At 37.2% G+C, this 24,851-nt stretch overlaps 1 protein-coding gene across 5 annotated transcripts in view; it reads left to right on the top strand.

The window, feature by feature from the left end:
- Positions 1-24,851, top strand: part of PAK5 (p21 (RAC1) activated kinase 5) — a 301,707-nt gene that overhangs the window by 18,331 nt on the left and 258,525 nt on the right. For 4 of the 5 annotated variants that reach the window (NM_020341.5, XM_017027960.2, XM_017027961.2 and 1 more), the window contains exon 2: positions 1,961-2,066. The exons of the other annotated variant lie outside the window; for it this stretch is intronic. The gene's annotated coding sequence lies outside the window, so the exon portion shown is untranslated. The remainder of the gene's footprint in view (positions 1-1,960; positions 2,067-24,851) is intronic. 5 annotated transcript variants of the gene reach the window in all.

Genomic DNA, 24,851 nt, shown 5'->3' with positions numbered 1-24,851 from the left:
TCCACTTTTGTTGTGCCTGCCTTGGTCCATACTTTGTAAAATGGGTCCCCTTGCTTCTTAATTATGTGTGTTTTGTTCTCCTTCTTTGTCCCATTGGACTGGAAGAGGCAGGAAGGAAGAGGCTAAATTTTATCTAGTTAAGTTAGAGCATCTGGCATAGCACCTTCCACGTACAGTTGCTCAATAAATTTTTACTAAACAAATGAATTCAATAAGAATTCTGTGACCTACTGAGACTTACATCTCCTTTAATCCAAATAGCAGCCCCATGGGTTACATATTGCCTTCATTTCTCCTTGGAGGAGGTGAGGAGTAGATCAATGAATGGACACAGTGAGTAAAAACAACTCTTTCAATAAAAATAGGTTGTGGCCCAATTTAATTAGACTCTAAAATGAAATAGGAGAGGCCTTCTGCATATAGGGGAAATCTGAGTTTTATAAAATGCATTTAAAGAAAATAAGCTTTCCTTCTACTTATTTCTAACTCTCAAATTCATTTTCATGACAGTTGATATTATGAGGAGGAAATAATGAATAGATTTTCTATAGATTAAACTTGTCTTTGCAGCTGGATGTTATGGGAAGCAGGGCGTATCTTCAACAGGATTCTTTTGTTTGAAAGGGGCAGAAACCCAACTCAAAGTGGATCAAGAAAACTAGGAATTTGTTGACCTGTATAGCAGAAGCATCCAGAAATACAGTTGGATCGGGAGCTCAAAAACATTATCCTGGTGCCATTTCTTCCCCATCTTTCAGCTCTGAGTGTTTCTGTATAGTTTTCTTTCTTGGGCAAGCTATCTTATTTTTCTGGCAACATGGACAGCCCCCCTACAGCTCTTGGGTTTAGATCCTACTGATCTCAAAATCCAGCAAAAAATACTCTCTAGCCCAATAGTTCTAACAAAAGTCTCAGGATTGAATTTCAGTAGTTCTAATATAACATTTGTGGGTCATGTGCCAGTACCGGTTCCTTGTCTAATTACTGTTGCCTGGGGAATGTGTGGCTTTTGTATTCCCACCTGGGTCCAAACCCACCCCTAGAGTCAGAAATCAGAGTGGAGTTACTTTCTCCCAAACCACCTTGACAGAGAACGGGGGTAGAGAGGATCTGCAAGGATTATCAGGAGGCCATTATCAGAAGCATAGCAAAGAATGTGGTCAGGCAAAAAAAAAAATGTTTTTTAAATGTTCATTAGTGTAGGTAAAAGTAAAATTGAGCAATATAATTATAGTCTCCACAAAGATTTCTGACCCAGTGAAATTTCTCTGGTCACAGGTTCGTTGGCCCTAATTTACTGGACTGATTGCATTTGAAAATATCTATCTTTTCCTGGAAATGAACTATAAGTTACCAAAGACACCATACAGAGACTCTTTAGCCCTATCCTCTTGTGATCTTAGCTCTTCATCTTTGTGTCCTATTTTGCCATTGTACTGCTGCTTCTATTTTGAAACCTTGGTAAGAAATAGATTTGTGTTGGTTTACTGATTTAGTCTGAAATTAAAATGAAAAATCATTTGCATATTCAGAACCTTACTTAATGGGAGGGAAATCGGTGATAAAATTGCATCCTAAACATTTCTCAGGGAAATGAACTTATAGTGAGTTAGTGAGGACATATTGTCATTACAAGGTAACATGAAATATATGCACCCAAGCCCTCAGCTTATCCTGATGCTTTCTTTCTTTGGCTTTCTCATGCAGAGTATATTTTCTCTCAGTGATTTAAGTGATTTGGTATTATTTTGTCCTATATAGCTTCATGTTTTATTAGATCAATTCAACTTTTGGACAAGACAAATTGGAAAGTAACTTTGATAGCTACTATATGTTATTTGGCTGATATTATTTAGTTGAAATGATGTCCAATACCCATGTTTCTTTATATTTGCAGTCCTTCATACCAGCCTGTGTTCTATTTTTACAGTGATACAGCTATCATTTTGTTTGGTTTTAGATGTTCATGCATTCTAGAGAAAGTGGAAAACTTAGAAGCCTAATTAATGACTGTCTTCTGGACCTCTGAGACCATGTTTCTAGTGTTTTCCGTGGAATATTATCAGGTATAGACTTTATGATAATTTTCATCCATTCAGAGATTAAATATTAAATTGCTTTAGGAATATTACGGTCTATGTGCATCTGTTCAGATATATTTGCTTTCCTTGGAATGCTTTGAATTCTTGGTTTTTGCAGATTATCAGTCTCCACCAAGATTCATCCTTGCGAGATACTGTTCCCATGTTAATGGAGGGTGTTTCAGTGATATTCGTTAAAGCAGAGTAAAAAATACTTTATTTAGGGCCATCATGATAGGTAGAGGGACCGAGCAATGAGATTTCACAGTGAGGGACAGAGATGGAGCTTAACTCTGAACACAGCATGGACCAGTAGTAATTTATATTGCCAAGGAGCAGAGTAGGAGTGGATGGAAAATTACCAAGAGGAAACATCTGGGTAAGGAGGATGGCTAAACTGACCTAATGGGATTCTTGCTTAAGACAGTCCAGCATGATCAGACATACCTGAGGAATAATGGAAGAGGAGGAAGAATCTGATCAGATATGGAGAGTGATCAGATGTCAAGGTGGAAGGATTTTGCTAAACTGACTTAGCAGGGTATTTTGTTAAAACTGGATTTTAAAAGGAAGTGAACAGATACCAAGGGTGTTTACTCTGAATTTGCATTTCTTCTTTTGTGTTTCTTTTTAAAAAATCCTTCTTTGATTTTACAACAGAAGGAGTTGAGTATTTGTTTTAGATAAATAAAAGCTGGATTTTATGTGGCAAAGATAGCTGATGACCCCTAGCTGCTCTGTGTTCCTATGAAGAAAGTCCCACTGCCAGAGATTGGCCATGCCTGGCCTTCACCAGGTGTGACCTCATTAACTGAGAATTGATAGCTTTGGAATTTGACATAAATCATAGAGTGTGTGCAAAGGCAGTTTATGTAATGGGTAAGAGATTGGATTATGGACTTGGCAAGCATGGATTGTAGACCCTGTCCAGACCACTAGTTGTGAAAATTGGTCAAATTTATTAGTTTCTCTAAGCACTGATTTCCTAAGCATTAAAAAAATATTATTAGGTACCTTGTTTGGGCTGCTGTGGGTTGTCATCACTCCATCCAAAATGTGACTCTGATTTACTTTCTACATATTTTTTTCACCATCTGAAATTATCTCGTTCATTTATCTGTTTATTTTCTGTTATCTTTCTTCTTCACCAGTAAGATATCTTTCCCCGGAGATTAAGGATCTTGCCTATTTTGTTTGGCCTGCTATCTCCAGGGCCTGGCACATATTAAGAGATCACTATTGTGTGTGTTGAAGGAAGAAATGAATGAATAAATCGGGCTTAGCAGAGAAGTAGGCACTTAGTAGTGCTCAATGAATGTACATTATGACATTTGCTGGTACCTGAAGCTCTTCTATGTGTAGACTTGAAAGTCTTTCATTTGGATAGATTTTTAAAAAAATTATACGTATTTAAAATCATGGAAACTGAGAGCTTGAAATTGTAGTTTTGAGACTCCAATTCAGCCAAAAACTGTTATAATGTTGAGTGTTCTTATTTACATAATTCTTTATTTTTAATTTTTATTATTTATTCATGTAGTTAGTTTTAGAGACAGGATCTCACTATGTTGCCCAGCCTGGACTCAAACTCCTAAGCTCAAGTGATCCTCCTGCCTCAGCCTTCCTTGTAGCTGGGACTATAGGTGTGCACCACCATGCCTGGCTTGTATAATTCTTAAACTCATATTATACTATAAGTTTCCTCCTGTAAAATAAATACCAGGTCTCAGCAGTTAGTAGCAGACACAAGATTCCAGGTGTCCCATATTCTCTATACCTTGCATCATCTGCATAGTAATGGTTACAGTAGAAAAAATAGAACTGATACCAGTAGTAATAGTCATGGCTGCTGTACTAGTCAGGGTTCTCTGGAGAAAGGAGATTTATTATAAGGTATGGTATTGGCTCACATAATTATGGAAGCAGAGAAGTCCCATGATCTGCTATCTGCAAGCTAAAGACCCAGTCAAGCCAGTTGTGGGGTTCAAAAGCCTGAGAACCAGAGAGAAAGTATGGATTCCAATCTGAGTCAGAATACCTGAGAACCAGGAGTGCAGAGAACAGGAGATAAGACTGATGTCCAAGCTCAAGCAGTTAAGCAGAGAGCAGATTCAACCTTCCTCTGCCTTTTTGTTCCATTCAGGCCCTCAATGGATTGGATAATGCCCACTCATGTTGGGGAAGGCAATTCACTTTACCCAGGCTGCTGATTCAAATACAAATTTCTTCTGGAAACACTCCGATGGACATACCCAGGAATAACATTTAACCAGATATGTGGGCATTCTGCGATCCAGTCAAGTCGACACATGATGTTAACCATCACAGCAGTTAACCTTTATTTCGCTATTAATGGGACAGATAATATACTCATAATAACCCTATGAAGTTAGTACAATTGTAATTCCTGTATTTAATTTTAATATTTAATTTTTTAAATTTCCCAGGAACACAGATTCAAGTTGCCCAGAATATATGCTCCCTATAATCACATATTTCAGAGGACAAAACTGAGGCTTTAGAGGCCACACTGCCACTTTCTGAACCCAGTCAAGTCTTTCTCCAGAGCCTGCCCTCATAACCCTGAAGTACTGACCCCAGAGTTCCAATCTCCTATAATTCAGAACTTTCATGAAATCAGACTGACTTTAGACACCAATGACTCAGAACTAGGGAGTTCTATTGTAGTGTGACTTTGGAGCTCTCTGAATGGTGCATGTAATTTCTGTTTTACAGAGCAACCTTCATTATGAGAAGCTGTGTGTCTGGCCTGAAGGAAGGGAACACTAGAGAAGGGGCTGGTTGGTTTGAGTTATGTGACAGTCTGGCAGGAACTGTCATTTGGCATGTGAAATAGAAGCATATTGGATTTTATTTTCCCCTGAGTAGGTTGGTGGGATTAAATTTAATTACCATTTTAATAAGCAGAAGAAAGGAACAATCCCAAATAGTAGAAACAAAAAGAATTGCTATGGTAGACCACTAATCATTAGAAAGACTTATTTTTGAATCATGAGGGACCACAGTGAGAAAAGCAGAAAATTCAGAACACAGAGAATTATAACCGACGGGACCATTGCAAAATTATACCTGAACGACAGTTTGACAAGTGAAAGTAATTACTGTTCCATGTCAGAGCTGGGGAGGGTCTGTCTTAGGGGATGGAGCAATGAGGATGGCCCAAACCTGAGTGTATGGATTTGTAGAGCTGCTTCAGAAGGGAGGGATGGCCCAGTAATGTCAACTGAGGCCTAATCATGACTTTCTTCCCAAGAAACTCCAAGGACTACACACATGCATTTCAGTTTTCACTCTGTGTTCCTGAGGAATGATGGCAGGCATTCATATTCATATTTTCAATGCAGATATTAAACCAGATTTATATGGTGCTATGGTTTGGATATGGTTTGTTTGGCCTTGCCAAGTCTCTTGTTGAAATTTGATCCTCAGTGTTGGAGGTGGGCCTGGTAGGAAGTGTTTGGATCATGGGGGCGGATCCTTCATGAATTTTTTGGTGCCATTCTCGAAGGAGAGAGTGAATTCTCACTCTTATTTCCTGCAAGAACTAGTTGTTGAAAAGAGCCTGGCATCTCCTCCTTTCTCTTTTGCTTCCCCTCTTGCCACATGATCTCTGCACACAGTAGCGCCTCTTTGCCTTCCACCATAAGTGGAAGCTGCCTGAAGCCCTCAACAGAAGCAGGTGCAGGTGCTATGCTTCTTGTACAGCCTGCAGAACCATGAGCCAAATAAACCTTTTTTCTTTATAAATTACCCAGCCTCAGGTATACTTTTATAGCAACACAAACAGACTAAGACATATGGCTAGCAATATAGATAGCAAAAGCGTCACATGACTTCCAGGTGTCCACCCTCGTGTCATTGCTGTTGCCTGCACAAATGCTCAAAATATGGCATTTGGGGATTCTGAATCCAAAAATGATTCAGGATAGTCAGATTATGAATGGACAGATACTTTAGTAAGAATTTAGCTGATTTGTTTTTCTTATATATTTATTTTTTATGTATGTATTTTATGAAAGAGTGGCATATGATATAAAGCTCTGACTCAGTAAATCTAAAAGAACACTTTTACAAGGTAAACTAAAAACTCTAATAGTTAACAGTGTTGTGATATTTTAATTGGCAACTCTTTTTTCTTTCTCAGTGATTCCTAAAATAATGGTGCATCTTGCAATTCTTGGTGTCTTGGTCAATTAAATTCTTGGTCAATGAAATATGGCAATATTAACCACAATCATTTTTTCAAGACATGCTAGACACAGTGTTAAGCCCTTCATGTGCATTATATGATTTATTTTCATTCTCATTTCACTGATGATGAAACTGACTCAAACAGCTAAAAAACCTCACAAAAATGCCCATAATTTCATAACAATTCCTATGTAGAATCTTTCAACGGCCTCACTTTGGATCTAAATAAAATGTAAACTCCTTGCCTTGTTTATAGTACCCTTTTCTAACATAGTCCTGCCTACTCTTCCCACTTCATCTCATACCATTCTCTGCCTGGCCATCCTGTTGAAGTCCACTGCAATTGCACTTGCCTAGAATGCACTTGACCAAGAACCTGATGGACCTGGCTCATTCTTGTTTTTCAGATCTCAGCTTATATGCTTCCTATTCAGAAAGGTGTTTCTGACATTCATCCTAAAATAGCCAGTTAATCTCTATCCTATCATATGGGTTCATTTTTATTTAAAGTAATTTTTTGAAGGTTAACATATACACAAAAAAGGACACACATTTTAAGGCTATAACTGGATGAATTTTCACCAAGTGAGCACACCTTTGTACAAGCACCCAGAAGCCCTTGCTGGATTTCCTTCTAGTTGCTCACTACACCCAAGGGCAAATGCCATCCTCAGCTTTGTCGGCATCGATTAAAATTGGAATCATAAAGTCCTCATTTGTGCCTGGCTTCTTTCATTCACTATGTTATTAGTAAGATTCATCCGTGAGGTTTTGTGTAGTTGCAGTTCACTTATTCTCATTGCTATATAGCATTCCACTGTATGAATACACCACAGTTTTTTCTGCTCTTGGTGGACATTGGCTGGTTTTCCATTTAGGGCTATTACAAACACTGCTGCTATGAACGTTACTGAACATTTTTTGGTGAACATCATGTGAATTAATTTTAACTGTATTACTTAAAACTATGTGGTATGTATTTGCCTATTTAAACTTTTTCTGTCTAGCTTTACCCCCATCACAATGTTACTCCTAAGATGGTAAAGACCTTGTTTATATTTTTTCTTATTTTATTTTTGAGCTTTATTGAGGTATACCTGTCTTACAATATACACCCATGGAATTGTTACTGTGGTTAAGCTAATGAACATATCTGTCACCCCCAAAAGTTTGTCCTTGCTCCATAGCAGTCCCTCTCTACCACTTCTTCCCGTAGCTCCTATATCTCCTACCCTAGGTCCCTATTGCTCTGTTTTCTGTGATGTTCATTAGTTTGGATTTTCTAGAATTTTTTATATACGTGAAATCATACATAAGGTACTCTTATTTTGCTTTCACTCATCACAGTTATTTTGGGATTCATCTATATTGTTGCTTATATCAATAGTTTATTTCTTTTCATTTGTGAGTGGCATTCCATTGTATGGTTATACTATATAGTTTGCTATAGATTTTTTAGCTTTAAGTTACTATTAAACTTTTTTATTTTTATTTTTTATGGATACCTAATAGTTGTACATATTTGTGGGGTACTTGTGAAGTTTTGATACAAGCATACAATGTGTAATATCAAATCAGGGTAACTGGGATATCCGTCACATCAAGCATTTATTATTTCTTTACATTAGGAACATTCCAATTTCACTCTTCTAGTAATTTGAAATATACAATAAATTATTGTTAAATGTAGTCACCCTATTGTGCTACTGAGCATTAGATCTTATTCCTTCTAACTATCTAATTTGTTTATCCATTCATCTGTTGATGTGCATTTGAGTTGATTCTAACTTTTGCCTATTAGAAATGATGCTACTATGGACATTTATGTATGAACTTTCATATATATCCCTCTACTTCCCTTGGGTGTACATCTAGGAGTGTAATGGGTGGGTCATATGGTAGGTACATGTTTAACTCTATAGGAGACTATCAACCTGTTTTCTGTCTGAGAGTTCCAATTGTTCCAACACTTTATAGTAAGTCTTTTTAAAATTTTTGCTAATCTGATAGGAGTGGTGATATCTCATTGTGGTTTTATTTCACATTTCCCCAATGACTAATGATGTTGAACATCATTTTTATATGTTACTTGCCATTTGTACATCTTCTCTGGTGATATTGTCTCTTCAAATTTTGTGTTGATTTTAAACATCGTTTTTTTTTTGTTATTGAGCTTATGAAATTCAAAAATAAATATTCTAGATATAAGGCCTTTTTAAGGTATGTTATTCAAATATTTTCTCCCAGACTGTGGCTTGACATTTCATTTTTATAATAGTCTTTTATTTTAATGCTGTCTTCCTAGGAACTAGAATAGTGATTGGCACATGTTGGTGCTCAAAAATATTTTCTTGAAAAGACCTAGTGAAAGGTGATCCCCTAGGAAATATCTTAGATTCTAAAACAGGTTTGAGCAACCCCATTACCCCTAATATTATCAATATACATTACACAACTAGGTATGTATATGATGTAGGTGCTATAATTCATTTTCTTTATGAGAATAAGGAAACTGAGGTGGATGGAGATAAACTCACCTTAATCAAAGTCACCAAGAGAGAAGCCAGTGTTTGAAGAAGGCAGTCTGACTCCATAGTTTTTGGAGGGTGTGGTTTGCAGAAGGGATGTAGAATGGTTAGAAGGAGCATAGTAACTTCTTCCATTGTCCAACTTTGCATTGTTTCAGTGGCGGGGTGAGCACATGTTATTCTTAAATTTTGGAAGTGTGCTTTAAAGATAATATTTGAAAAGAATACATGTATTCAAGTGCTGGACTACATAATTTGAATATATAGATACATACAAGATTGACTGAGTTTCTAGATGTATAGACCAGCTAGGTTGAATGCAGCCATTCTTGTTCAGTTCCGTGGGCTGTCCAGTCTCAGGCAGTCATGCAACCTTTAAGAGAGTGAAAGTAGTTGGCCTCTGGTCATAGTGCCACTTCTCCCTTCTGTTCTCACTCTGTATTATTAGACTAATATCCCCTGCATGGTAGAATTTGTCCTGGACTGTTCTTTATTAGTAAAAACCAAAACAAACCAAAAGCTTTCTTTTTTACCCCTGAATTCTAGGAACACATATTTCTTTTTGGGGTGGGGGAGAGAGAGAGACAGAGAGAATGTTTTAGTAGCATTTAGGAGTTACTGGGCGGCCTTTGGGAAGTGGCATCCATAGGAGAACTGTGAGACAGTATACAATGTCACGATGATAAGTACATTTCAAGAAATCAAATTTGATCATATTTTGGGGCAGATTAATTTATAAGGAGGGGATCATTGGCCAGTACTTTGTAAACAATCTGGAGCTCATTTTGCTCAAATTAAATATTCCATAGTCATTAAATAGATATTCAAGTAGTGCTTAGGCAGCACAGAATATATGAAAATCTGCAGCAAATCATACTATCCACATAAACCATTATACTGCTTCTATTGCTGATGTGGCTGCCAGATGTCTCTTTTGTGAGCTGGATTCCATAGTGTTTTTCATATCTCTAGAGTTATTTGAATAGTTACTTCTTGAATATCTAGCAACTGTATGTGCATATGTATGTATGTATATATGTATGCATGTGTATGTATATATGTCTATGTGTCTATGTGTATGTGTGTATATATACGTGGTGAAACTTAACTTTGCAAGTCTTTTATTCATTTTTGTGAGATATGGTGAAATGTGATCTTGTACATTTTTATTAATGCAGGTTGGGAAACAGATTCTCCATTAGGGTAATAGCAGAGAGGGTACATTTTAGGTACATTTTGCAATTAGACAATTTTAACAGCTACTGGTCAAAGTATTATTTAAATTTGGCATCACACTTAAGAAATATAAACTGTTGTGTCTAAATTAAGCCTAGTTAAACACTGCCCTTGATACATTCTTTCTTGCTTCCTTTTCTTTGGAGACAGGGTCTTGCTGTGTCACCCAGGCGGGAGTGCAGTGTTGTGATCACGGCTCACTGCAGCCTTCCACTTCCTGGGCTCAAGGGATCCTCCCACGTCAGGTGCACACTTCCTGGCTAGTTCTTTTAATCTTTTGCAGAGGCAGGGTCTCACTTTGTTTCCCAGGCTGTTCTCAAACTCCTGGGCTCAAGCAATCCTCCCACCTCAGCCTCCCAAAGTAACTGGACTACAGGCATGAGCCACAACGGCTGGCTGTTTGATACATTCTTGGTTTGCCTTGCTATTTGTATTTTCCTAAAAGCGCATGCTGGGGTCACCTTTGGTGCTTTCAAATTTACAACCTCTGGACCCCATTCCATGTGATTCTGGTTTTATTGATCTGGTATGTAGTGCTGAAAGCCCTCCAGGAGCAGAGGAGGTTGGGAACCACTGCTGCACAGGTGGAAGGAGCCTGGAAGTGCATCTGTGACCATGGACTTAACTCTGACAAAAATAAGGTGGTAAAATGAAAGGAATGAGTCTCGGGAGGATGTAGCAAATGTAATTTTAGCATTGGAAGGGAGAGCTTCGGCGTTAGGAAAATGCTTACAAAATGGAATGTCAGAGGAAAGATAAATAGAATCCTATGGCCAGAGTCTTCCAAAGTTTGACAGCTTAAAAGAATGGAGAGGCTTCCTCAGAGTAAAATTCTGACCTTGCAGCCATTCAAGTAGTATTCTCCGAAGAGTGGTTCTGGTAAACCTGTTATGTTAGGTAGTTCATAAGCTTTTAAAAATCAGTGACAGCTATGAGTCAATATAAAGTTGGTTTAAATGAAATTGTAAATAAATAATTGTACAGGTGCTGTGTGGTAGAAATCAGGAAGGTGGGATGTGAATAGTTTAAGAAATGTTTGACAAACAGCCATTAAACACAAAGCATCTTAAAAAAACTATAATGACAGCACAAAGAGCTCCTGAGCTCAGAGTTTTGAAGGAGTGGTGCTTATAAATACACCCAATTAAGTCCCTGATGGGAGGAAAAAAATCTAGTTATTTGCCTGAGTGTGATCATTCAGTTGTCTCAGCTGTTACTTTCTAAAAGCAGATACTTGTGGCCTCATGGTATGTTCTTGTTTTCTCCTTTTTATTTTTTTAAACACCAAGTTATTCCCAAACCCTAGAATCGGAGTCATTATCATGATGAGCCTGCCAAAAAAAAAAAAAAAAATTTGGATTGCCTCAACAGAAAAGTAGTATCACTTGTTCTCTAACTGAATTGTTCATTTTGCAGGGTCAAGTTACCTTTCCAGACAGTCTGATTTGAGAGATCTGGTGTGAGGCCCTGAGATCTATATTTTTAAGTAAGCTTCATAGTATATCTAGTGTATGCTAAAGGCTCAGAATGTTGGCTGAGAATTTGGAGATGATGTTGATGATGTTTCCCACACTGGCAAGGGCACCCATCTCCCTTCCAGAAGTAGCATCTAAACAAAATTATAAGCAATTTCATCACATAAAAAATAGAATAATATAAAGAACATCGACATACCTACCACCCAGTGTAACAAATAGCATATTACTAATATACTAGTTGATTCCTGTATACTTCTCCCCAGATTGCATTACCTTCTGTTTTTCTAGAGATAATCATTCTTCTCATTTTTTAAAACAACAGATTTACTGAGTTATATTCATATTGCATACAATTAAAGTATACAATTCAATGATATTCACAGAGTTGTACAGCCATCACCACAATCAATTTTAGAGCCTTCTCATCAACTCAGAAAGAAACTCAGTCACCACTAGAAAGCATCCCCTATTTTCCCCTACCCCACCAAACTCCAAGCCTTATACTCCTACCAGTTTACTTTCTAACTCTATGAATTTGCCTGTTCTGAACATTTCATATAAATGGAATCATACAGTACTTATTCCTTTGCGATCGCTTCTTTCACTTAGCATAATGTTTTCAAGGTTCATCCATGTTCTAGCATGGATCAGTATTTCATCCCTTTCTGTGGCTGAATAATTTTTGTTTAGCCATTCTTCAGTTGAAGGACATTTGAATTGTTTCTGCTTTTTGGACATTATGAATACTGCTTCTTTCATAAACAGTCATGTACAAGTTTGTGTGTGAACATACATTTTCAATTCTCTTGGGTACTTACCTAGAAGTGCAATTACCAAGCCATATGGTAACTCAGTTGAGGAACGGCCAAACTGTTTTCAAAGAAGCCACTCCCTGGGTGTTGATACTTCTTATTTTCACATACTTTTTTGTACTTCTCCTTGTGTTAGTATTTCTAAACAGTATGTAGAAATGTTATGTATTCTTTCAAACAATGTAAGGAATTTCATTTTATATTATTTATAACCTGCACCTTACTTTGCTTATCATTGTGTTTCTAAGTTCATCCCTGGGTACACACAAAGTGCTAATACATTCAGTTTCACTGGTGGTACAATATTCAGTTGTCTGAACACACCTCAACTTGTCTATTTTCTGTCTTGTCTCTTTGTCCGTTTTACTGTCAGAGTAAATAATACCATCTCTGTTAATACAAATTCCCAAAATCCACAATAAAATCTTTTGTATCATTCATGTGAAGTTCAAAGTTAATGCTTCTGGCTGGGGAACTCTCCTGCATGTGCTAACTCGGGATCTCAGATTTCTCCATCTTGCATGATTGTCATTTTCTAGGTCCTCCCCTGAGTTTCTAGTGGATCATCCAGCTGTCTACTAAGCTAGAAGGCAGGGTTGCACTGGATTTATTATTATTATTATTATTATTATTATTTATTTTTTGCTGGAAGGGAGTCGTTACTGTTGCCCACTTTGCATTGACCAAAACCTAGCCACAAGGCCCCCAAATTAACTGCAAGGGAACCTGGAAAACATAGTCTTGCTTTGTATTCAGGAAGGGAATGGGGAATTTTTAGTATCCCTGCCACATTGACTTGTAAGTTTATTTCAACTTTTTGCAGCTGTAAACAATGCCACTAAACTTTCAATTTTCTTGTTCATGTGGGTCTCAGTTTCTCTAGAGTATGTATGTATTAGTGGGATTGGGTCACAGGGTGTGTTAATGTTGCATTTTATTAGGTACTTTCAAGTTTTTCTCAAAGGTATTTATGCTAATTTAAGCTCCACCCTGCCGTATGGGTGCTTCGCTTTCTTGCCAACACTGAGTATTTGCCAAACCTTTAAATGTGGGGCACCAGCTGTTAAAAGGGAGATGACAAATGGCATGGCATTTGAAATGGAGGAAACTAGGATACTAAAAATATAGAATAGTGTATGTGGTAGACAGAATAATGACTCTTCAAATATGTCTACATCTCAATCCCCAGAACCACAGAACACATTCCTTTATATGACAAAAAGGATTTGCAGATATGATTAAGTTAAGGATCTTGAGATGCGGAGATTATCTTATATTAACTGAGTAGGCCCAACATGATCACACGGGAGTCCATATGAGAAGGAGGCAATAAGGTCAAATCAGAGGAGATGTGATGACAGAAGCTGAGGTTGGAGTGATGTGCTCTGAAGATGAGGGAAGAGGTCACAAGCCAAGGAATGTGGGTAGACTGTAGAGGCTGAAGAAGGCAAGGAAATGGATTCTGTCCTTGGGCCCTCAGAAAGAACCAGCTCTGCCAATACATTGATTTTCATGCATAAGACCCATTCTGTACTTCTGACATCCAGAACTATAAAATAATAAATTTATGTTGTCTTAAGTCATAAGTTTGTGGTGATTTATTATAGTAGCGATAGGAAATTAATATAATATGAATAATAATAGCTAGCATTTATTCAGTACACAGTCATGCTAGGTTCTCTTATCTGTGGCTCATTTAATGGATAACACACTCCTTAGTGTCACCATTTTAGAGCTGAGGATGCTGACTTAGAATTGGAGAGGACTTAGTGAAAAGAGAAGGTAGCTTTGCAAAGAGCTATCTCTTTGCAGGACAAACTCATTTTCGATGGGAAAGCCCACACAGTGACAGAGCTCTAAAATACAGTGAGTTACAGAAATAAGGGATATAGATATAGGAGGTAGGGTCTTTACGTTCTGTCCCTGGTTCTGGGAGGGTTCTCAAAGAGGTGACTTTTGACATAGGGCCTGAAAGATACAAATGCTCTGCCTTGTGTCTTGAAAGAAAAAGAAAATTCAAGATGCAGGAACTGGAGCAAAGCTGAGGCCTGGAAAGTTATTTTTACCACATCATTCTCTGATAATATTATAATTAAATACCATATCTACTGGCTGGGTACAGTGGCTCATGCCAGTAATCCCAGCACTTTGGGAGGCAGAGGCGGGCAGGTCACTTGAGGCCAGGAGTTCGAGACCAGCCTGGCCAACATGGTGAAACCCCATCTCTGCTAAAAATACAAAATAAATAAATAAATAAATAAATAAAATTAGCTGGGCATGTTGTTGCATGCCTGTAGTCCCAGCTGCTTGGGAGGCTGAGGCACAAGAATTGCTTGAACCCAGGAGGCAGAGGTTGCAGGGGGCTGAGATCATGCCACTGCACTCCAGCCTAGGCAACAGAGTGAAACCCTGTCTCAAAAACAGATGTAAAATCTTAGCTCCTCATCCATCTCTCTCCCTTAGCTATTAAACCATTAGTGTTTTCTTTGGTAGTGCTACTACCACAACTGAATAAAAAAGGATTTGCGTGAGAACTGCACCTGATTTTGATTGTTAGACTATTGAAAGAGTTCTGCAACCAACACCACTATCTAATTTTAGAACATTTTCTATAATCCCCAAAAGAAATTCTATGCCCATTATCAGAAACTTTCCACTCTCTCCTCCCCCAGGCCCCTGCAAAAACTAATCTTCTTTGTGTCTCCATGGATTTGCTTATTTGGGATACTTCTTATATGTGTAATTTATATCTAATATAAATGGAGTATGTGGTCTTTTGTGACTGGCTTCTTTCACATAGCACAATACTTTGAAAGTCCATCCATTTGCAGCATGTATCAGTATTTTGTTCCTTTTTATGGTGGAACAATATTCCATTGTGTGAATATACCACATCTTGTTTATCCATTCATCATTGATGAACATGTGAGTTGTTTTCACTTTTTGGCTTTTATGAATAATGCTTATTCTATGACCGCTTTGTATAAGTTTTTGTGTGAACGTAAGTTTTCAGTTTTCTTGAGTATATACCTTTAAGTGGAATTGCTATGTCGTAAGGTAGTTTTATGTTTAATTTTTTGAGGAACTGTCCTGTTTTCTAAAGTGACTGTACTTTAGACTCTCATTTTACATTCACCTGAGAGTTTTGATTTCTCCACATCCTTGTCAACACTTGTTATTATCTGACTATTCGATTCTAGCCATCCTAGTGAGTGTGAAGTGGTATCTCATTGTGGTTTTGATTTGCATTTCACTGATGACTAATGATGCGAAACATCTTTTTATGTGCTTATTGGCCATTTGTATTTTTTTGGGAAATATGTCTATTCACATTCTGTGTCCATTTTTAAATTGAGTTAATTGTGTTTTATTGTTGAGTTGTAAGAGTTTTTTATATTCTGGATACTAGACCATTATCAGATATAATATTAGCATTATTTTATCCCATTTTGTGGGTCACCTTTTCACACTGTTTTTTGATTGCTGTTTTTGTTTGTTTGTTGTTTTCTTTTAATAGAGACAAGGTCGCACTGTGTTGCCCAGGCTGGTCCTAAACTCCTGGCCTCAAGCAATCCTTCCACCTCAGCCTCCCAAAGTGCTGGGATTACAGACATGAGCCATCACACCTGGCCCACACTCTGGATAGTGTCCTTTGCATGAAAGTTTTAAATTTTGATGAAGCCAAAGTTATCATTTTTCTTCGGTTGCTTGCGCTTTAGGTGTTATAACTGAGGAACCACTGCCAAATTTGATGTCATGCAGATTTACCCTTATGTTTTCTTCTAAGAGTTATATAGCTTTAGCTTTTACATTTAGGTCTTTGATCTATTTTTAGTTAAATTTTGTATATTGTATGAGGTGGTATGGTCAAATTTATTCTTTTGTATGTGGATATTTAATTGTCTCAGCACCATTTGTTGAAAATATGATTTTTTCCCATGTATTGTCCTGGCACCTTTGTCATAAATCAACTGACCATAGATGTATGAATTTTTCTTGAACTCTTAGTTTTATTCCATTGATGTATATGTCTATCCTCTGTGCCTGATTTGAAAGATTACTTGAAGTGGTTGCTTGATGCATCTACATGGCTGATCTTGGAGAGTCAGTAAGTTTGAAAAGACACTTGAAAATCTGTATTTTATCATAAGCACTACCATGTGACTCTGGGGTCAATGTTGAGAAACTATGACAGCACCTCTCAGACTTCAAGGAACATACAGATCACTAGAGCGCTTGTTAAAATGTAAATTCTGATAGAGCAAGTCTGAATTAGGGCCTGAGATTCTACATTTCTAACAAGTTCTCAGGTAATGATGATGATCCACAGACTACACTGTTGGTGGCAAAGGGCTAGAAGGTCTCCCACCACAGCATGATCCCATGCCTTCCAGGTAGGCCTCTGGAGGAATCACTAGGCTTAAATGAATATTTGAATTTTCTTTCCCATGTTAATTGTTGCCTTTATTTACTTTTATGCCACTGAGAAAACCAACTTCTCCAGCTCATTTATGGTGCCTTACAAACCTGATTTGAGGGGATGGGTTTTTGAAAAGGCTTTAGGATTTTATTTCTGGATTTACAGAAAAAGACATGGAGTTAGGAGTGCTTGATGGAAAAGTGAATTTAATGGATTCTGAGTAATTTTCCTACTTATTTAAATTCTACTTGTTTCCAGAAGAGGTGTATTAGCAGGTTATTTTTCTCTTACAATGATACTTTAATGCAGATATATAATTGCATCATGTTTGCCTAAAAATTGGTTTAGATAAATCACAAGTGCCAGGTTACATCAGCTTTTCCAACATCCACTTGATCTACATTTATTTCAAAGGTTTGTTTAGAAGGCTGACATGTTCTTAGACTCTTCTTTTTCTGCTGTTTGCTTTCAGCAAGTCATTCCAATTATTTGCATATAAAATATCTCCATTTTCACATAGGGACCCTTATTTGTCCCTATATTCTCTCAGGAAAACTGCTATTTCTCAAGTACTTTGGTAGAGGATTGCCCTTTATAGTTCGCAAATGTGTGCTTGGATGTGCCCTTGCTTATCCTTCCATGCTTTCTGGGCTTGGCGTAGTAAGTGGTCATTGATTTTCTGTTCAAGGGGTTTTGTAGTTTCAGGCAACTGCAGCTGTTAATTCTGGATGTCAATTTCTAGTAAACCTACATTTATAAAATGAGCTACTCTTGTGCAGTGTTTGCTTTCATAACACTAGCCGTGTTCTGAGTTACAAGCACTTGTTTTTTTTCTTGTTTTTGTCCTTAATTGTTTTCTAAACATTTCCGGAAGCTTGGGTGTTCTTCAAATAATAGTGTCTTCAGGTTAGTTGTGATTTTCTGACTTGAAATATTTTTAGTGCAGCACCTTAGTGGCTCTGTACTTAGCTAGTATTTGAAGCATGGTTTGGAGCTTTTTTTTTCTTTAATTTGTACTAAATAGTGTTTTTGCTATTAGTAATTCATATATATATATATATATATATACACATACATATACAATAGTACAGAAGGGAATAAAATGAAAATTAAACCCCGTTTCTAGTTCTATTCCTTCTGTTGGTTGCCACTTAGCTTTAACCAATATTTTGGCATCTCTGTTTATTGACCGATGCAGTCTCTTCTTCAACCACTCCTAAAAATGGGGGATGCAGAACAATCACATCTCCTAACTTTCCCACCCCTGTCCAATGCCCAGTTTTTCTCTACTTCCTGAGATTATATTTTTCTTCCTTGTGATTTTAAAGTATGTGCTTACGTTCTTTTTCAAAGACTTTCAGAATTATTTTGAATGGGAAACATTCATATTCAAAACAATAAAAAATCAAAACACAAAAATGTATGCAGCAAGTCTCTTTACCTCTCTATGTAAGAAGTTAATGCCTCCAACAGATAATCAATGGTAATTATTTCTGGGGTTCCCTTTAAGATGCTTTCAATGCATAGGAAAGCAGATGTGTGCGCACACTACTTCCCTTCTCCCATATTTATAAAATGTCTGCGTTTATCATTGTTCATATGCCCTTCCAATCATCTTGCCGTCACTGTCTCTTCTTCCAATCACTGCAATGACCACTAGCCCATTAAGACCTCCAGCCATTGTCTCGTGAGTACAACCTAGCTAACCTCACATGATGCCTAAGCCATATGCCCTTTGCCTCCTGACCCAGATTGTCCTTGTTTCTAGCCAAAGCATGGGACTCCATGAGATCCCACTTATTGCCCACAAATGCACAACCCAGAAGTATGGGAAGTTCATGCCCTATCGGGCTAATCTGTGACCCAAGGGAAACAAAAGCCGGTTAAAAAAATTCTTGCTCTTTTACTTCCCCAGACTGACTGTCCTAAGAAGCATTTTTTATGGATTCTCAGAAGATGGTTCTTTGTGATCAAGCAAAATCAGCCAACCTTACTGGTGGCCAGCACCATAAAGCATTTTTGTATTGGCTCTGTTTGCTTCCTTGTTTTAGTCCCCATGTCTCTCACTCTTGCTTCCTGAAACTGTACTCCCAGATAAAGTAGCAATACATGAAGCGCCATGCCCTTTTCCTAGTTACTTTTATATGTGGAATTAATTTTAATGTATCTCAAGCTATTTGGGATTGAGATAATTTAACTCATGCTGGCTTTTCTTACTAGAATGAATTAATAAATTTTTATATACTGAAATGTTGAATTACAAATCTTGCCAATATCACATTTAATTAAATGAATTTGAAATCATGATGGAGATGGAGATAGAAAGAAAATTTTAGTTTTTCTTCGTGACAGAAATAGTTTACCTGGTAATATTATATATTCTATAAATATAAAAGTCTATTAAAGTCTATTAAAAGCTCCATATGAACAGAAGATTTATATGTATAAGTGTATGTGTGTGTGTATATCTATAATATAATGTATATATATGTTTATATATATATACAAGTCTCACAGTTCCATAAGAACAGAATATTTCTAAGCAAAGCAAATTTCTAGACAAACTTCTTAGATAGTTTATTAGTCACTTGGGAAAAAAAATCTATAAAACAGTTTCATAAGAACCAGATTTAAATATATTTATATCTATATAAATATTTTGACATTGAAGGAATTAGCTGTGTGTGCTATGCCTAATATTTTCCCCCATGGCTAGTAAATATTTGTAGATAGTGTCCCTTTTCTCCTTGTAGGTTACAGTGAAGGGGAAGAGTGACCCACTAAATTACCCCAGCCATGACCTGAAAAAGTTACATGGGAGGTTTTCATCATTTGTTTTCTCATAGGGACAACAGTAATATTGAAGTAGGAAACCTCTATGTCTTCTATTGTTTACTGATTCCATATCTTACTGTAAAATAAAAGCATGTGAGAGTGAACTGGAGATCTAGATATCCCCTTTAACTTGCCTGAACTGTTGTTAGAAGACTTTTCAAACTCTCCTGCAGTCTTTGAATTTTCAGAAGATGCCTTTATATTTATTTCTTTCACTAGTTAGCTCTCGGTGGTGTCTGTGGCATCTTAGCTCTCAATGGTGTCTGTCCGTCTGGAGCTGGGAATGTGATGGAGAATCTCTAACTCCTTAGTTGGGGGAGATTTGTAGATGAGAGAGGCCAGTTAGTCATGTTTGTGATGTTGGGTTAATCTCTTTAGGAAAAGAGCAGGCTGGCAGCAGGTTGATGTTTGCAACTTTGATTTACTTCTTGGAAAGTAGATTGTGGAGGTAACAAAGGTTGTTAGGCCATAATCAGTCATTTCGTCAGCCATGGAGAAGTTGGAAGTAAATCTACCAAAACAGTCACAATGAACTGCATTATTGTAAATTCAAACAGTAGTACCAGTGTTACACATTAATTTTTCTACTTACTGGTAATATTTATCATTCTGTCAAAACTTGTCCTGCTGTAAGAATATTGAGAACTAAAAAGTCTCTAAGTACATTCTTCTTGTCATCCCACAGGCATGAAGTTCAAATAGATGTCAAATGCCACAATAAATGGTCATAAATTTAAAAGATTTTTTGATAGTGGTTGGCTAATAAAGTCAAAGTTTAACAAACAAAAGTGACCTTTATGCTTGAAGCTAAATGAGAATATCAAATCATTTGGTTGGAAAAACAGGCTGTGATAGAAATTTCAATAGAAGAAACAGATAAAATGAGTTATCTCTATGAAAATGAAGCTTAGAATCCTCAAAGCGTCATGAATCTCAAAGTTAGAGAAGAAGGTGAAGATCGTTGTTCTAGTGCTCAGCTAATATCATTCAACCTTGGCTAAGAAGCCTAAAGGATTAGCGAAGACAGTTCTATTTTATTAGGAAGGGTTTTTATAGATTGTAATAAAACTTGTCTTCTTATAAATTCTACACTTGAATCTTTTAGAAAATTATGATGAAGAAGACTACACTATCTTTCATTTGTCAACTATACAGATATTTCTTTTTCTTTCTTTCATTTTTTTTTTTTTTTTTTTTTTTTTTTGGAGACAGAGTCTCACTCTATTACAGGCTGGAGTGCAGTGGTGTGGTCTTGGCTCACAACAACTTCCACTTCCTGGGCTCAAGCAATCCTCCCACCTCAGCCTCCAGAGTAGCTGTGACTATAGGCGCACACCATCACACTCAGCTAATGTAAACATTTTTTTTTGTAACAGATATTTCTTTATGGGTGTCATGCTGCTCTCTCATTTCTTTATTCTCTTCCTTTCACAAAAGTCTATATTCTAGGCCAAATATTCCCAAAACATTCAATTATACCTCATGTTCAGTGGCTGCAGAAAGGCACATTATCATTAGAGTAGAATTTTAGATTATAAATCTCTGTCTCACACTGTGGTATCCAGAACTGAATATAAGACCCATAGAAATCTTCCCAGGACAGAAGTGAATGGAAATATCACTGATATTCAACCACACACACATTCTTATTAATGGAGCTATAATCATACCATAGACTTGTTGCATGTTCCAGTTAAAACTCTTCTGGTCCTTTTCTTACATGTTGTTGAGAAGTAGCTCTATCCTTTTCATGTACATTTCATTTTAGGGACATAAGTTCAATAAAAGATAAGCAAACAAATAACAACACAAAAACAACCCAAAGATACGATTGTCACCTATTAAGTGGACAGCAGTGAAAAAAGTTGTTGGGTAAGCATACATTACAGTGGGCCTCTTTTGCCCTATGGATGACTTTGTAAAGTGTTTGGAAGGCCATTGTGCAATATGTATTACAGTTTAAAATTGCACACCTTTTATTCAAGAATCATACTTTTTAGAATGTATTTTTTCTAAAAGTGGCTGAGATAGATATCTATAAAGGATGACTTCACTACTTATCTAGTTTTTATTCCATGGATCATCAGTATAATCATGGTCTTGCAAATACTTTTTAATTCTTTCCTTTCCCTTCTTTGCATTTATGCAAAGCTCTCCCTAGATTTATGATTCTCAAACGTTTAAGATCCATCAGAATCACCTGAATGGTGAATCTTGTTAAAAAATATTGCTGTGTCCTATACCCAGGTATTCTGATATTAGTAGATCTGGGGTGGGGCCCAAGAATTACCATTTTTAGTAAGTTACCAGCTGAGGCTGATGCTGCTGGTCCAGTGACTGTGCTTTGAGAACCATCATCCTTGATGAACCCAGCCACTCATGATTGTTGCTTGCAAGAGTCACTTGGCAGATTGATCTCACTACAAATTCACGAGCCCCAAATTTAAATGTACATAAAACACTACCTGGAAATTCTAGGAAGCTACTTTTTCCATTGTCTGCAAATAATTTTATATCTTGCCTTTCCTCTTCAAACTTACCTGTTCTTCTCACATGCACTAACTGCACAGGCTTTAAGCTGATGACTTGCCTCATGCTTTTTTGAGAAAACAGAAACCACCAGAGGGAAGATTCCCGACATCTTCTTATCACAAATCTGTAAATCAGCTGGTGTCTGAATCCTGTTTTCTCCTTCTGCCTTTTCTTTCCTGGAGAAAGTCAAAGGCCAACCCTGTACTTTGAATCCTGTACAGTCTAACCTCTACATTCAGTAGTTTGCATGTTTATTCCCCTCTCACCATACTGAATTATTCCCATTAATACACAAATTTGCTCTAGGATTTCCCATCTTTACATTACACACGTAGCAATAGCTATGAACCATTTTTTTTACCCCATAACTCATACAGTTACTCTACTTTTTCTGCAACCTTGCAAAGTCAAACTTCTCCTAAGAATTGTCTTCCTATATTTTCTATTCCCTAATAACTGGTAAACCCATTCCAATCTTGTTTTGGCCCCCACATTGCCACTGAAGTAGATTTTCCTTTGGACTCCCAACCCCTCAGTCTAACAGAGTTCTTAGTCCTCCTTTGTGTAACATATGCCACAGCTAATAGTTCTACTGGCTTCTTTTCCAGAACAGCCTTCTCTAAATGGTCTCTACAGGTTGGGGTACTTCTCTTCTCTCAACCTACTTTTCCCATGTAGTCTTATTCATCTCTCTCTGGATGATATAGAACCATTCATATACTGATGAATCCTTTATTTTATATCTAGCACAAACCTTTATGCTGAGATCCAGACCCTAATATACACAGGTGCCTAATTGGCATCTCCACTTGGTTGTCCAAAAGGCAACCCAAAACTGACATATCCAAAGTGGAACTCTAAATTTTCTCATAAGTCAGTTCATCTCCTCTCCTTCTCCCATTTTATTTTATTTTATTTTTTCTTTTTTTTTTCTTGTGCTCTTATTTTTATATACGAATATTTTTTATTATACTTTAAGTTCTAGGGTACATGTGCACAACGGGCAAGTTTGTTACCTATGCATACATGTGCCGTGTTGGTGTGCTGCACCCATTAACTCGTCATTTACATTAGGTATGTCTCCTAATGCTATCCCTCCGCCCTCCCCCCACCCCACAACAGGCCCCAGTGTGTGATGTTCCCCTTCCTGTGTCCAAGTGTCCTCATTGTTCAATTCCCGCCTATGAATGAGGACATGTGGTGTTTGGTTTTTTGTCCTTGCGATAGTTTGCTGAGAATGATGGTTTCCAGCTTCATCCATGTCCCTACAAAGGACATGAACTCATCATTTTTTATGGCATTCTACTCATCTGACAAGGGGCTAATATCCACAATCTACAAAGAACACAAACAAATTTACAAGAAAAAAACAAACAACCCCATCAAAAAGTGGGTGAAGGATATGAACAGACACTTCTCAAAAGAAGACATTTATGCAGCCAACAGACACATGAAAAAATGCTCATCATCACTGGCCATCAGAGAAACGCAAATCAAAACCACAATGAGATACCATCTCACACCAGTTAGAATGGTGATCATTAAAAAGTCAGGAAACAACAGGTGCTGGAGAAGATGTGGAGAAATAGGAACACTTTTACACTGTTGGTGGGACTGTAAACTAGTTCAACCATTGTGGAAGACAGTGTGGCGATTCCTCAGGGATCTAGAACTAGAAATACCATTTGACCCAGCCATCCCATTACTGGGTATATGCCCAAAGGAATATAAATCATGCTCCTTCTCTGATTTTAGAAAAAGGTGCTACCTAGTTGCTAACAGTCTGGAAGGAGTCATTTGACAATTCCCCATCTCATCTGCTATATCGAATCTATCACCAAATTTTGACTGTAGTCTTTGATCTTCCACACATTTCCATTTCCACTGCCCCAACTCTAGACCAAGCCCCACCACTGTCACTTGCCTGTTTCCTGTGATAACCCCAACAACTTTCCTTGCTGGCCTTTCTTCAATCCTTTTTTCCTGCAGCAGTAAGAGTGATCGTTCAAAAATGCAAATCTGATGGTCACCTTCACTTAGTAATTTCCTACTACATTTGGAATAAAATTTAAACTTTTCATTTAGCATCTTACAAGATCTATTAATCTTCCACCTCTCCAGCCTAGCCTTGGGCTACATGCTATATACAATAGCCATGTCCCATGTCTTCCAATTTCCTGGAAGCAAAGTCTCTCTTGGGGCCATTTGTGTCTGTTGTTCCCTTTGCTTTGATGCCTCCCATCTCTTTGCAGCCTGGCTTTTTTTCATCTTTTAGTTCCCAAATTATCAGTTACATCCTCAGAGGGACCTTCCTACCCATCCAATAGAAGCCTCTTCTGTTGTTCCCTCTGTTCTTCTCCCTCATATTGCAAATTATTATTGAAATGATATGTTCATTTTTGCTTTTTTGCTTATCTGTCTCTTCTAGTAGATCTAAGAGTTCATTAACTGTCTGAGGTTAGAGATCTTAGCTGTTTTGTTAATGTCTAAATTCCCAGTCTGGCTCATTGTATGGCAAATGGTATTTGTTGGGGGACTGAATAATATTTATTAGAGCATTCCTGTTAACAGTGTAAAATCAGGCTATAGTGTAAAGGTCCATCAATTTAATGATTAAGTTATAGGACGATCCATTGTAAAGAAAAAAGTAAATTTATATATGCTGATATGGACATATATTTAATAAATATTAAGTGGAAAAAAGCAAATTGCTAAAC

Source organism: Homo sapiens, chromosome 20, assembly GCF_000001405.40.
Source record: "Homo sapiens chromosome 20, GRCh38.p14 Primary Assembly".
Classification (NCBI taxonomy): domain Eukaryota; kingdom Metazoa; phylum Chordata; class Mammalia; order Primates; family Hominidae; genus Homo; species Homo sapiens.
Note: the sequence above shows the minus strand (reverse complement) of the source record. Positions and strands in the feature narration are given on the sequence as shown.